General features: G+C 39.7%; 1 protein-coding gene across 23 annotated transcripts in view, besides 2 other annotated features; it reads right to left on the bottom strand.

Annotated features, from left to right (window-relative positions):
• PKHD1 (PKHD1 ciliary IPT domain containing fibrocystin/polyductin) overlaps positions 1 to 15,612 on the bottom strand; it is a 472,317-nt gene that overhangs the window by 236,778 nt on the left and 219,927 nt on the right. For all 23 annotated transcript variants that reach the window (XR_001743469.2, XM_017010944.3, XM_017010945.3 and 20 more), the window contains one exon: positions 3,817 to 3,994. Coding sequence is in view for 22 of the 23 variants with exons in the window: in XM_017010944.3 (XP_016866433.1) it covers positions 3,817 to 3,994 (178 nt within the window). In the remaining variant the exon portion in view is untranslated. The remainder of the gene's footprint in view (positions 1 to 3,816; positions 3,995 to 15,612) is intronic.
• Positions 2,417 to 2,941: an enhancer, noted in NCBI's record as "H3K27ac-H3K4me1 hESC enhancer chr6:51719291-51719815 (GRCh37/hg19 assembly coordinates)". NCBI's record gives its function as "activates a minimal SCP1, AML or CMV promoter by ChIP-STARR-seq in naive H9 embryonic stem cells {active_cell/tissue: H9 hESC(naive)}" and the evidence as "EXISTENCE:reporter gene assay evidence [ECO:0000049][PMID:30033119]".
• Positions 2,942 to 3,465: an enhancer, noted in NCBI's record as "H3K27ac-H3K4me1 hESC enhancer chr6:51719816-51720339 (GRCh37/hg19 assembly coordinates)". NCBI's record gives its function as "activates a minimal SCP1, AML or CMV promoter by ChIP-STARR-seq in naive H9 embryonic stem cells {active_cell/tissue: H9 hESC(naive)}" and the evidence as "EXISTENCE:reporter gene assay evidence [ECO:0000049][PMID:30033119]".

Below are 15,612 nucleotides of genomic sequence, written 5' to 3' on the forward strand. Positions count from 1 at the left end.
TGTGTCCCAGAGATTCTGATACATTTTCTCTTTGTTCTGATTGGTTTCAAAGAACTTCTTTCTGTCTTAATTTCATTATTTACCCAGGAGTCATTCAGGAGCAGATTGTTCAATTTCCATGAAATTTTGTGGTTTTGAGTGAGTTTCTTAATCCTGAGTTATAATTTGATTGTACTGTGGTCTGAGAGACTGTTTGTTATTATTTCAGTTATTTTGCATTTGCTGAGGAGTGTTTTACTTCCAATTATGTGGTCGATTTTAGATTAAGTGCCATGTGGCTCTGAGAAGAATGTATATTCTGTTGATTTGGGATAGAGAGTTCTGCAGACGTCTACTAGGTCCACTCGATCCAGAGCTGAGTTCAAGTCCTGCATATCCTTGTTAATTTTCTGTCTCATTGATCTGTCTAATACTGACAGTGGGGTATTAAAGTCTCCCACTATTATTGTGTGGGAGTCTAAGTCTCTTTGTAGGTCTCTAAGAACTTGTTTTATCAATCTGGGTGCTCCTGTATTGGGGGCATGTATATTTAGATAGTTAGCGTTTCTTTTCTTGTTGCATTGTTCCCTTTACCATTATGTAATACCCTTCTTTGTCTTTTTTGATCATTGTTGGTTTAAAGTTTGTTTTATCAGAGACTAGGATTGCAAACCCTGTTTTTTTTTTTTTCTTTCCATTTGCTTGGTAAGTTTTCCTCCATCCCTTTATTTTGAGCCTGTGTGTGTCTTTGCACATAAGATGGGTCTCCTGAATACAGCACACTGATGGGTGCCTGACTCCTTATCCAATTTGCCAATCTGTGTCTTTTAATTGGGGCATTTAGCCCATTTACATTTAAGGTTAGTATTGTTATGTGTGAATTTGATCCTGTCATCTTGATATAATTTAGTTATTTTGCACACTAGTCAATGCAGTTTCTTTGTAGTGTCATTGGTCTTTATATTTTGGTGTGTTTTTATAGTGGCTGGTACCGGTTTTTCCTTTCCATATTTAGTGCTTCTTTCAGCTCTTGCAGGGCAGGTCTGGTGGTAACGAAATCCCTCAGGATTTGCTTATCTGGAAAAGATTTTATTTTTCTTTTGCTTATGAAACTTAGTTTGGCTGGATATGAAATTCTGGGTTGAAAATTCTTTTCTTTAAGAATGTTGAATATTGGCTTCCAATCTCCACTGGCTTATAGAGTTTCTCCTGAGAAGTCTGCTGTTAGTCTGATGGGCTTCCCTTTGTAGGTGACCTGGCCTTTATCTCTGGCTGCCTTTAACAGTTTTTCCTTCATTTTGACCTTGGACAATCTGATAATTATATGTTGGTCTTCTCATGGAGTTGGGGTTGGTCTTCTCATAGAGTGTCTTAATGGTGTTCTCTGCATTTCCTGAATTTGCATGTTGGCCTGTCTTGCTAGGTTGGGGAACTTCTCCTGAATAATATCCTGAAGTGTGTTTTCCAGCTTTTTTCCATTCTCCCTGTCTCCTTCTGGTACTCCAATCAATCATAGGTTCAGTCTTTTTATGAAATCCCATATTTCTTGGAGACCTTGTTCATTCCTTTACATTCTTTTTTCTTGTGTGCATGTCTTATTTCAGTGAGGTGGTCTTCAAACTCTGATATCCTTTCTTTTACTTGGTCAATTCGGCTGTTGATACTTGTGTGTGCTTCACAAAATTCTCATGCTGTGTTTTTTGGCTCCATCAGGTCGTTTATATTCCTCTCTAAACTGGATATTCTAGTTAGCAATTCCTCTAACTTTTTATCAAGGTTCTTAGCCTCTTTGCATTAGGTTAGAGCATGCTCCTTTCACTCATTGTAGTTTTTTATTACCCATCTTCTGAAGCCTACGTCTCTCAATTCATCCATTTGATCCTCCATCCAGTTCTGTGCCCTTGATGGAGAAATGTTGTGATCATTTGGAGGAGAAGAGGCACTCTGGCCTTTTTGGTTTTCAGCATTTTCTCGTTGATTCTTTTTCATCCTTTTGAGCTTGTCTAGTTTTGGTCTTTGAGGCTGTTGACCCTTGGATAGGATTTTTGTGGGGGCCTTTTTGTTGTTTTTGTTGTTGTTGATGCTGTTGTTGTCGCTTTCTGCTTGTTTGTTTTTCTTTCGGGTCCCTCTTCTGTTGGGCTGCTGCAGTTTGCTGGGGGTTCACTTCAGGCCCTATTCATCTGATTTGCTCCCATGCCTGGAGATGTCACTCAAGGAGACAGGAGTGCAGCAAAGATGGGTGTCTGTTCCTTCTGGGACCTCTGACCTCGAGGGGCACCAACCTGATGCCAGTAGGATCGCTCCTGTATAGGGTGTCTGACAACCTCTGTTGGAGGATCTCACCCAGTTTGGTGGCATGAGGAGCAGGACCCGTTCAACAAAGCACTTTGTCCCTTGGTGGAGAGGGTGTGTTTCACTGGGGGGAAACCCACTCGTCTGGGCTGCCGGGATTCCTCAGAACTATCAGGAGGACAGGCCAAGTCTGCTGGTCCACGGAGACTGCAGCTACCCACTCCCCCTGGGGCTCAGACCCAGGGAGATATGAATTCTGTCCCGGAGCCTCTGGCTGGAGTTATTGGAGATCCTGCGGGGAAGCCCTGCCTGCCCACTGAGGAAGGATGGGTCAGAGTTAGGCCCAAAGAGGCACTCTGGCTGCAGACAGCCACAGCTGGTATGTTGGGCTGTGGGGACAAGTCTTGGGACAAAGCCATCCAGCCTCCCTGGCTCCAACAGGGAAAAAACGCAGCCTAGAGCTATAGAAATGGGTGCTGCCTTTCCCCCATCCACAGAGCTTAGCATGTTAGGCAGTTGCAAGTCCCAGTGCTGGCTGCTGCCTCTCCTGAGCTCCAAACTGGGAGCTCAAATGGCTTAGACAGCAGGCAGCTGCAGCCAGTGCTGGTCGCCCCTCCCCGCGGGAGTTTGGTAGGCTTAAGCAGATTCCAGCTGAGAGGCTGTAAGAATCTGCTTAGGGCTCTAGGCCCGGGTGGTGGTGTGGGTTCGCGAGTGGGATCTTCCGACCCATGGGTTGCACAATTCCGTGGAAAAAGCAGTTTCCCCGGCTGGGTAGCGGCTCACTCACCGCCTCCCTTGGCTGTGGGGAACGGAGTTCCTTTTCCCCGTGTGGCTCTCAGGTGGGCCACCGCACCACACTGCTCTTCCTTCTCTCCGTGGGTCACGCCAGCCTTCTAGTCAATTTTGATAAGAGAACCTGGATACCTTGGTTGCCGATGAAGGCTTCACATGCTTATTATGTTTTTGTTTTGTTTTTTCGATGGTAGCCTCCGAACGTCTCTGTTTCTAGTAAGCCATCTTGCCACACGGCCATTTCTATCTTCACTGCTCTTATTTGTCTCCCTTAACCCAATCCAGCCTGGGGACTCATACAGACTTCGATTGGCAAGTTAATCTTTGACCACAAGGTGGCAGTATGCAATGTATAAATGCTTTGGTAAGGCATTTTCTCTGGCTACAAACACTTCTCTCTAGGGTAAATTGGCTATTGACCAATAAGTTTTAAAGAAATGCAATGCTATAAGATGTGTAGAGGTTGTTTCTCATTGTATTAATAAATTTAAATTTTCAGGCGTAACCATTCTGCATTCACAATAACACATAAATAGATTCTAAAATTTTCAAGTTTAAAAAGCAACCAAATCTCATATTTAGCTTATATTCATCTGGCCAAAATACTATTGAAGTTTTCTTTATCTGCATCAGAATATGCCAAGACTTTCAATAACGAGATAACCTGCTCCTCTTTCAACCCATTATCTCAAACAAAGAAAGATAAGAACAAATGAGAATGCAGCATACCAACTAATGGATTCCTTGGGTTACCTGCAGAGATCTGTTGATCCAAAGGTTCTCAGATTGCAATGAGTAGGTCTCTTGGTCCAAGAGCAGAGCCATCCAGCCACGAGGGTTAGACAATGTATCACGTACATAATTGACAGTGGTTGTTTTATTTCTGCTGTCAGTCATGGTTAAATCATAAGAAACTTCAGGAGTATTCGCTCTAAGGTGATTTTAAAAGGAAAAAAAATGGGTTGAGAGATTATTTGCTCATTCTGAATCCAATACATTCCTCTTTCATCAATTGCAATCATCTTTCCATTCTCTCCACATATGTCTTAGGCCCTCTTTAGTTGTATGTCTAGGGAGGTTTTAGCAGTCACTGTGTGAGTGAAAACAACCCAGTGGGAAGTTGCCATTGGATCATTTGCAAATTACAATGTCCTGGTGAACTGGAGGTGGTGACTCTCAGGTTTTTTATTTTGTTTGTTTTTTGTTTTTCTCCTTGAGACGGAGTTTCGCTCTTGTTGCCCATGCTGGAGTGCAATGCGCAGTCTCAGCTCACTGCAACCTCCACCACTAATAAATGTCACATTAATGATTTTGTATGAACCAAGACTATATACTATGATTTTAACAAAGAAATGTCTATGGCCAGAATTTTGCCTTGGACCAGATTTATCAACAGCAAAAAACATTATTATTGGTAATTGGATATTCACATGAGGAACAATTGACAGAGGCCTGGGACCTGACATGCCTAGGTGCTGAGACTCTCAGAAGTCCTGCTCAAAATGCCCAGCAGGAGTGGCTTCAGCATCCTTCTCTAGAATGATGAGGTAACCTGCTCCTCTCCTGCAGTCTTGTGTAATGCCTAGTACTCACTGCTATTACAGTACCTATGTGTTCTTGGCTTTGCCTTTTTAAAAACATAGATTATAAGATCCCTAAGTTAGAGGTGTTTTCCCCTTTCTTATTGGTATCCTCTGCCCTGGCACAGGGCCCAGCACACAGTGGCACCCAAATCATGTTTGTTATATGAATGAACAATGCATAGATGAGATCTTCCAAAAGCAGCCAGTGACATTTTCTAATGTATATAAAGTTCTATATATAGAACGTATAAAAACGTTCAGAAGAACTGCATTTTACCAAATGAGGAGACTGAGGCAGGGTAGAGCAAAAGCAATATGTGAGTATCACAAAGTAGAACTCGAAATTTGTGAATCCAGTTACCCAACTTATTCTATACAGCCATCCCAGAAAATGATTTTTAAGACTTCATTAAAGCATAAGTAGATTTAGCCAATGATTAGACCCCTAAAAGAGAGTGAAAGTGGACCTAAAGAAATAAAGCAAAATCCAAAAAAAAAAAAAATCAATACACATTATGACTGTTCTTCCTCCTTTGGTTTAGTTTTCATGAGAATCTTTAACTGTGGCATTTTGCCGCAGGCAGATAATTAAATTCTCAAAGTAAGGGAAATGAGTCAAAAGAGGACATTGGGTTTTCACAGTGAGATGGGGCATGAGTATATCTAAAGCCAATTTATAAGCCCGTGGAATAATTCAAAAAGGAACTTTTTTAAGTGTTGCACACTTGGGCACTGGAACAAATGGGTAACAACTGAAATCTAGATTGGCACTCAGTAGGTGTGTAAACCTGGGCAAATTTCAGCACCTATTTAACCTTTAGATTCATTTCTTTTTAAAATGGAGGCAACAATAGAATAGATCTCATATAGGTACTATGAAACATAAAGATAATCTACATAAAGCACTCACCAAGGCCAATAACATCTACTTAGGTCTCATTTAAGAACCTCAAATATGCCAGATTTACCATTCTGCACTACTTATTTGAATGCCTAGAGGTTTATTCAGGATATTCGGTCATTTAAAAACATACCAAAAACCCTTCCATGGTACAGATCATTGACCCTGGCAATGTAGCACTTGACACATATTTCTTGCAAGATTAAATGTATTTGTTTCATCCATGAACTAATGAAATGAAAGGGATGAAAAATGCTCAGGGCATTTGGGAATGAAAGAACTATTCTTTTTTCAGATTTCCCTATGCAGCATTAACTGAACCTTTAGAAATCTTGTGAGGAGGGGAAAATGTCTTCCTTTCTTTGGGTTTTAGATACTTAGGTTTGTTGTCCACCCTTCCCCACCCACCCCTTCAGGATTTAAATTGGAACTAATGGACAATTCTCAACCTATATTCTTAGAATCAGAATGAACACAAAGATCATCTGTTCTAATTTCCAATTCAGTGCAGGAATTCCCACCATATTTCATCCCTCCCCTTCTTTCAGTTATGGGGTGTTTACATCTTCGAATAGAAAACATTCCATATATGGGATTTAGTTTTAAATTGTAATCTTTAGAAAAGCTTTAGAATGTTAAATTTCCCTTCTTAGAATTTCTAGCCATTTGCGCTCAGTCATCATGGCTCTCTCTTCCCCTGATGGAAACCATGAGTCCCATAATCCCAGGATATTTTCCAGGAACAATTTGGCCCAACTATATTTAGCAAATAAAAATAAGCTTTGGGGACATAAGTGTAAAACAAACATGATAAGAGGTAAGTTCGAACTAAGAAATGTCAAAATTGGCTACAGTAGGTACTGTGGTCAGTAAATAAAACACACTAGAAATATCTAAATTTCCTCAAGTACAGGGAATGATTATAAGTGTTTCAGGTTCCAAAAGTATATCCTTCCAGTTTTTACTGAGACATATGGGCTTGGATTTATTTAAATAAATCTTGTGATTTATTTAAATCACAAGACCTAAATCCAAGAGAGACTAATTGATAAATCAGAATTTTTAGTTAATGATTGACCATAAGAAATAAAAGTGCCTTTCATATAGTGGGAGTTTAACAAATATTTTCTGACTGAATAAACAAGTGTTATATGCATCAGAACACTCCAGCTGGTTATGCAGTAACATTTCTCCCCAACTTGGAAGTCTACCTAGAAAAATCACATGAGGGTCAAGAGATTTCCTGCAAACTTATTTTCAAAAGAAATCAGCAGTTGGGTGATCCTAAGTTATTAGAGCTTGATACAATCAACCCCATATCAGTAGGATATTTGCCAAGAGGACAAACATAGTCAGTGGTCAGAAAACCTCTCCTAGGCACACACAAGCAATGTGCACTAATAATGGTCTCTGGTCTAGGAAAATGCTATGATTTCCTTGAAAACTCATATTTCTGCAATCCTAGTCAAGTGCTGTCAATTAAACCACTTTTTAAAAATAGTTTTAACTACAAACCAAAAGAAGATCTCTGTTCAAAAGCATCCATCTGTTCACATTTAATTCCTCCTGCCTCACCTATCTTCTCATGCATACCACGTTGATCATTAAAAAAAATTACCTCGGCCGGGAGCGGTGGCTTATGCCTGTAATCCCAGCACTTTGGGACGCCGAGGCGGGTGGATCATGAGATCAGGAGATCGAGACCATCCTGGCTAACACGGTGAAACCCCGTCTGTACTAAAAATACAAAAAATTAGCTGGGCGTGGCAGCATGCGCCTGTAGTCCCAGCTACTCGGGAGGCTGAGGCAGGAGAATGGCGTGAACCTGGGAGGCAGAGCCTGTAGTGAGCAGAAATCGCGCCACTGCACTCCAGCCTGGGCAACAGAGCGAGATTCCGTCCCAAAAAAAAAAAAAAAAAATTACCTCAATATGTGATAGTATAATCAATTGGGTAGATATTTCCAGAAATATTTTTTAATTCCAGCAATGTGGTCCCAAGAATTCCCCTGGTCACCTTAACTGGACTTAATTGCTCGTCAAATTTCAATTAACACCACATTTACAGACCAATTTTTAGGATGTTATTTCCCCTGACTCAGTTTCTGTAGATTACAATTTCAATTATTGAAGGAAGCATTTTTCAGATAATCTCCCCAGTTTCTGAAGGCCCATACAAATGTGGTCCCTCTTCAAATAGTGTCAAACTGCTAAATGCTAGCAATAATTTGGTTCTATTTGTCTTTGGAAACATTGCACCTTCCTTTTGAGGTTCTTCTCCTTCTAGTCAGAATCCAATAATCTGATGCAAACTCCTTGGCCAACCAGAGACATACCATAGCACACTGTGATCCTAAATTACTTTCTTATTTCTCCTTCATGCACTGCTCATTCTCTCAGAGCCTTGAGTCTATCAAGCTCCCCTCACCCATCTCAACCAAGGTTTATTAGGGATGCAATTTCATAGGCACTCATGTGCAGCACCAGCTTTCTGTAGTGCAATACAGGTAGAGAAGGAGGTTATCATATATACTACACTTTTATCACAGCTGATAGGAGAGAGGGTCATATGGTAAGCATTCAGATATGCTTTCCACTCTGAAAAGCAACTCAAAAAGCAAAAGACCCATCTCCCATCAGGCAAGATGGCTTGTACTGACCATCACCAGGGGCCAAAAATTCAGTCAGGTCATCTCCTGTCCTCCTAGGCCAAATGCCAGAATTGACCATGGAGGGGTCTTCTGAAAAGCACCAAAAGAACATCAAGAGTCCAAAAAACACCATGAAGAGAACTTACCAACAATAATTACTACAATTTTCACTTGCCCTAAATAGCCACCAATTTCCCCATGCCCTAAATAGCCACCAATCTCCCACTCTTTACTGTTAATGAAGCAAAGGAGCACAAAAGTATTTCTAATTTGGAGGAGCCAAGGGAGTCTGCATGGGCCATTAGCAGTAGAGAGCTTCATTACTAGGGGAAGAAGTCTCTCCCTGAACTTCTCATGGCTTTATGTGCAAGAAATCAGGAGGCAACCAGTCCATTTTAAATGTTAACCCTTACCTCTGCATCAGCAACAGCTCCTCCTGTCTATGATCAAAAAGACAAAAGGGCTATAAGCCTTACATGTTGTTTTTCTTTTCTGTGGGCTGTCTTAATGTTTGTTCTTTTTTATTTTATTTTTTATTTTATTATTATTATTATTTGAGATGGAGTTTCACTCTTGTTGCCCAGGCTGGAGCACAGTGGCATGATCTCGGCTCACTGCAACCTCTGCCTCTCAGGTTCAAGCAATTCTCCTGCCTCAGACTCCTGAGTAGCTGGGATTACAGGCACCCACCACCACACCCAGCTAATTTTTTATATTTTTAGTACAGATGGGGTTTCACCATGTTGGCCAGGCTGGTCTCGAACTCCTGACCTCAGGTGATCCACCCGCCTCAGCCTCCCAAAGTGCTGAGATTACAGGCGTGAGCCACCATGCCTGGCCCAAACCTGTTTTTAATTCAGGGAAATGTTCCATTAGAAATATAACACTATCACTTGGTAAAACTTCCTGGTCAAAGTACCAATTTACCATACTAGTTACTTAAAGAGTTATGTAACTTAGTGCCCATGTACTGTAAAGAACTGTTGAATCCCACAAAGGATTTGTTAGGCAATCAATAATACCAATGAGAGCAGATATTAACTCCCTGGTTTTTGTTTACCATTAGCTTACTTTTCCTGAGGGTCCATATCTGTGTATTAAAGACAAGCATTGCACAGAGCTCTAAATGCTCTTGATTTGGAACAGTTGTGAAATAAATCCTCTGTAATTATCCATCTCCTAAGCCAGACACACCACAATACCTAACCTCAAATTGTGTTGCAAACATCTTCTGAGTATTTGTGCTTGTTGATGTCACTCTCATCTTTTACTGCACAAAGGGGAAGAAAAATCAAAACTGTGGGCACAGCCAACAAATTTCTGTGGCATGGTTTTGCATGAGCATCCTTTAAAAATACACCATGCTCATAACAATCCTTGTCACAGCACCACTATTCTATCTGCTAACACCTGCCACCATTCCGTAATATTTCATTATCATTGTATCATTAAGTTTTTCCATCCACAGCCTTATGGATTCAGAAACACTTAAATATTTCTCCTCTAAGGAAGTATCTACAGTTTTTGCAACATAGTTATCTGCTGTTATATTAGGACAATACTTTTTGCCCATTCTATCTTAATATATGAAGAAAAGCAATAGATGTCCATTATCCTACTTTAGGTGACCATATACCATTGCATCTCTACTTTTGATCTGCTGAGTCCAATTGGAATGGCTATTTGAGAACACGAGAACACTGTTATTGAAGCTATGCAACCAGAAGGTAGACAGGTGGACAACTGCTTGTCAGGGATATTGAAAAATATTTTATCCAGCAGGTAGGAAGTTAGACTAAGAAGCTTGTCCTCCCATATATATGCATACCAGAGCTGTGATGGGGATGACTGACACTGGCTGGCAGAAGCCCATCATTGACCCTTCTTCCCAACTATATGTTCAGTGCTTTTAGGTTGGAAGCTTAAAATAAGGCATGTGAGAGTATTTTCACTATAGAATTAGGCAAATGAAATAAACCAGAGCTTTTTATTCTGGAGAGCTAGTTGTTAAACATTTACCAGCATACCACTGCAACCTTTTATTATTCATAAAACTTAATAACCATGTAATATTGTTGATGATATTCCTCAGTTTGGGGTCCATTGTGATTTTTAGATCTTTTTCTACTTTAATTCTGTAACCTTTGCTGCCAAGAAAAGATAATACATCTTTGAATTTTCTTGTCTCACAGGGTTGTTTTTTAAGGACTGAAAAGATACCATTAGTGATGCCATGCCTATTTATCCCTAGGAAGGAAAGTCAAGCGATTATTAGAGGAAAAGGTAGGCCAAAATTTCCATTTGAACTCTTCTTTATTTTTGCATTCACAGAGGCAGGGGGTGACTCGTACTTTGAACACTGACACCTTAAGAGTGGTTACATAGGTAAAAACTGAACGCAAGCACTACAGGAGAGGATATTAAGCAAGATCTAAGAATCAAGGTGATCAACAAGAACACTAACCTTTTATTTTCCAGGAGAGGTGGGAAGGAAGAAACAGAAGGTACTGGGGCACGATGAATCAAAGTCAACGCCCTGAATGACCTGAGGTTCTACAACCACCTGGGAGGTTTTGCTGGGTCAGTACAACGTCATATGATTATTACAAATTATTCCCTATTTTTCAGGAATTGGATTAAGTTACATTACCTAATTCCCTTGCCAGGCATTTGTTTCTCAGAAACAAAAAATTCTGCAGTAACCTATTCAATTAGTATTATGCCTATGCGTTGTTTTGTAAATCACAAATGTAAAATAGATATTCTTTAAAGAGTACCTACTACATGTCAAGCAATGACCCTGAGGGATAAATACCATTATACCCATTTTAGTGATGAAAGAACTGAAACAAAAAGCGGTAAAGTAACTTGTGCAAAGAAATATACCTAGGAAGTAGAGGGGATATGACTTGTACCCACAAAGGATTGTTAATTACTTCTCTATTCTTCAGTCTGAAAAATAATTTCAAACATGTACTGTATATATGTCTTGACTATTTTATGTACGTCCTGTAAAAACTCAGAAGGACTGGTCAGCCAACCTACAAAATCTTGCAAGCTCTTCTAATCTCCCTCACACTCAATACAGTCAAAAATTCGAAGACAGAATCAAGGTCTGATCTGTTGATATCTCAATGAGTCTACGACAAGTGAAGAAGTTATACATTGCTGTAAACAACAATGACAAAAATTTTCGAGAAAATAATTATAAGGGTTGAGCTTACATCCTCTCTATCACAGTTTTATGTACCTATTCCACCAGGACAAGAAAACAATTACAAATAAAGGCAAACTGATGATTGAATGGGGGTAGAGAGGGGTTGGATAGAGAAGGAATCAGCAATTAGAATAAATCCTCCAGTCAAATGATTGCCCCAGGAAAGTAAAAGCCCAGAGAAGATTATGAAAGAAGATTCTTAAATACTAGATATTCCTAGGAATTTTAGAAGACTGGAGATAGCATTTTACTCCTGGGTCTTCTGAAGAAAAGCCGAATGCTGTGGACTCCTCATGAACATGTCCTAGGAGAGAAATAGACAATAAGGACACTAAAGGAAGATCTGGGGGCAGTCCACTATTTTTTATTTATATTTTTTTACTCAACACCAATTTTGTTGAGTTGCTATGTGTTAAACAGAGTTTGGGGCATCATAATACAAAGAAAATCCCTATTTGCCCTCCTTGCCATTTATAAGGACAGACGGACAATTTAGAAAGCTATGCAGGTGCTATAAGTACTGATTAGAGCAAGTATAAAGAGCTAGCACACAACAGAGATATCAAAACCTGCGCAGCATGCTCAGGGAAGCCTAGCAGAGAAAACGACCTCTATGCTGAGTTCATGGAAGCTGAACATTATGAATTGAAGAGCACAAATAAGTTGAATGTGGCTAAGGGACAGAATGCAGGAAAGGTAGAGCAGAGTGCTGAGAGATAATGCTGGAACCCAAAGCAGACAGCAGGACACGGAAGCTCCATGACACATTAGGAATGTCAGACTTTCCTTGGAAAGCACTGAGAATTCTTTAAAAGTTTCACGCAAGGGAATGGATGGCAAGATCAGATCTGCATTTAGAAAGTTCAGAGATTGAAACACCGAAAAATGGCAAGCTAAGTGGCTGTTGTGGTTCTACAGGTGAAAAGTAATGGTAGCCCAGACTGGAGAAGGATTTGGGGAAGGAGAGTAGTAGAAAGACTCAAAAGGGATTTATTAAGGAGGAAAATTGAGCTGATAGGTGATTAGTGTGGGAAATAAGGTACAAAGATGAGTCAAGGATGACTCCATGTTTCAGGTTTAGACCAGCATTTGCCTCAGTGGGATTCTGAGCACCCAGAGAGAAACAGGTCTACAGAAAAAAATCATAAATCCCATTTTGGCAAGTTGAGTTTTAGAGTAGCCACACTAAAAAGCTCAAAATAAACAAGTTAAATTAATTTTAGTAATATATTTAGCCCAATCTATCCAAAATATTATTTCAACATGATCAATATAAACAAATTATTGAGATATTTTACATTCTTTTTTTCATATTAAGTCTTATCTATATGGTGGGTAATTCACTCTTACGGCACATCACAATTTGGACTAGGGAGATCTAAAAAGAGCACACAAAATCCTACTGATAATATTGTACTTGTTTCGTGTAATTATTTCTATACAGAAAAAAAAAATGTTTACCTAAAGTTTGGGATAGATAAATCCAAGAACTATGTGGGACATTTTATAATTATGGGACCCTGGAGAAAAACTGTCACTGGCATGTGTTTCTGATATGAGGTCCTGACTTACATTGGCAGAACTAACACTACCCCTGTCTCACCAGGAACACTGAGGTTCATAGGGGGAAGCTGGTAGAAACAGAAGCTGGGAAAGGAACGCTATCCAGAATACCTGCGGCTTCTACAGAAAGCATGTTTTCAGAGCTGATGAGAGAGAAAACAATATAAGCAGCACTCACGCAGATCAAGCATGCTGTCATTTTAACAAAACATAAACTAGACTCTGCCTTGTAGAGTGGCAGTTTTTTCTTCACCCAAATATTAAATAGTGTGGCCAACTTCAAATATTTAAATACTTCTGTCATCCCAACTGCTGGCTTTGAGTCATAGGAACCAATAAAGTAGGAAGTGCCACAAAGGTAAGCACCGTCAGATTTAAGGCAGTGAGGGACAGGAACAGAAGGTTGCCAATGTCAAACAAATAACTTATAGTGAAAATGGACCAGAGAGGGGGCCTACCAAGGAAGAACTCACACTCCAAGAGCTTGGTTCTTAGCAGAACAGGAAGAGGATGTCTTGTTTATGCAGCTATGTAAAGCCTCACTCCCTGCCCTCTCTGGACCTCTTACTGAGGGAGGGAGTTAAGGGTTGAAAGTGAAGACAGCAGGGTGCTTATGCCATATTAGATCTCCATCAACATGCAACCCCAAAAGATCATAACTGTGAGAGCTTTGTAAATCAACTCTTAGGGTGCTTGCCCCAGGGCAAATAGCACAACAAATTAATCCTTTCTCCATGAAATGCAGCAAAGTTTGCATCTATGCTGAATTCAAATTGCTCATTAGCTCTGACATGTTCCTAATGAGGTTATAATGCTTTGGGACAAAGATCAAGCCACTGAGCACAAATAGCTAGGGATAGAATCATAGAAAGATAAAATTAGAAGGACCTTAGAGGAGTGCCTCTCAGACTTTAATACCAATCACCTGGGCATTGTAATTCAGGACATCTGGGGCCCAGTCTGAGAGTCTGCATTTCTAAAAAAAATCCCTGGTGCTGCTGCTGCTGCTGGTCCATGGACAACATTTTGAGCAGCAAGACCTTAGAGATCATCTAATTCAGTTGCCTCTCCTAGAGGTGAGCACATCAGGGCCAAGAGATTTATAACTGGAAGCACGCTGAGACTTCCAGGTGACTAATTAGGGTCAGTTGAGTATTTGTCCATAGACCTGTGAGTCAACCTGAAAATTTTAAATAGAATCTAAGGAGTAGAGTGACCAATCAGCCTAGATGACTGAGGAAGTTTCCAGAACATGGAATTTGCCTTTTTAAAACAAGAAAAAAATCCAGGAAAACCAGGATAAGTTTTTCATCCTGCTAGACCCTTTTGAATCTACTTAGAACACAGTATCAGTATTACATTTTTCTTGACCTTGTCAGTCCCCAAGTGGTGGGATCATGACCTGCCAAGGCAAGTACCTTAATATCCTGTCCCAAAGATCTCAAAGAGCAAATGCTCAAACAAGTTTCAGGCACTACAGAGCCTTCTAACATCACATTGACAAGTGCCTCTCCAAGAGACAGCCTACCAGTAGATCTCAAAGTAAAGCATGATAAAGGACTATCAGGAACACGCAGAAATAAATATTATAGAAGCATATAATGTTCCTTTTAAGTACACAAATCTATTTTCCTCATTTGATAAAATGCATGTAAGAAATAAATCACTAATTTTTATAACTCTCAAAACACTCATTTAAAACATCCTTGGTAAAAACACTAAAATAATAAAAATCAGGCTGCATCCCTGAGAATGAAGAAAAAGTCATGCTCTGCACAATCAAAATGATTAGAAATAAAAATATATCCCTACATATTATTATTTTACTCACTGGAATTGGGCTCATTAACGTCAGGTAGAATAATGAATGTCTAGAAAGCAAAAATGAAAAATTTCCAGACTATTCAGTGCTACCAGTGCATCGCTAAGGCTTCTAAAACAGAATGCCAAAGCACTGATTCCACATGCATTCAAAATACAGAGTTAGTGCAATCCTAACCACAATGATTCTCACTCCCTGAAGTTTACTTGTTCAAGTAAGAGGCCAATGAGGTCTGACTGAATTACTTGACTTAATACTCATGGAGTTAGGACACTTAAGACAAAGGAAGAAAATAAGTGTGGCTAAATATATACAATGCATTTGGAATAAGTAAAAGACAGAACCCTAGACATTCAGCAATCATTACCTGGAAATTAAAGAGGGCAGGAGCAATCCTATTATGCATTATAAACAGCCCCGCTGCTGACTTAATGGTAGTTTGAGTAGCATAACCAAGGAGTCCTTGCTCCAATATTAATAGGAAATGTATTGTAGGAATCCAATAGTTCATGAAATTAACAAGGAAAATGAACTGGAGTGAAGCAACCTTGCAAGTAATAGGAGGCATCAGCAATTGCTTCCCTGGAGCATATTGAACACTTAAAAAGAGCTTGGGAAGAGTACATGTATATAAATGAGAATGGACATTTTTAGAATTTTTTAATAATACTTTTAATTTAAATATATTTCAAACTCTCTGTTGGCTGTAAGTCTTTCTAAGAAGAAGTTATTAGCCCAAAATGTCAATGAGAGGTCACAAGCTATGAGATCTGGTCCAAAGATATTGCTAGTTAGCTGCCATTTGAGTCAGCTT

This window comes from Homo sapiens, chromosome 6, assembly GCF_000001405.40.
Source record: "Homo sapiens chromosome 6, GRCh38.p14 Primary Assembly".
Classification (NCBI taxonomy): Eukaryota; Metazoa; Chordata; class Mammalia; order Primates; family Hominidae; genus Homo; species Homo sapiens.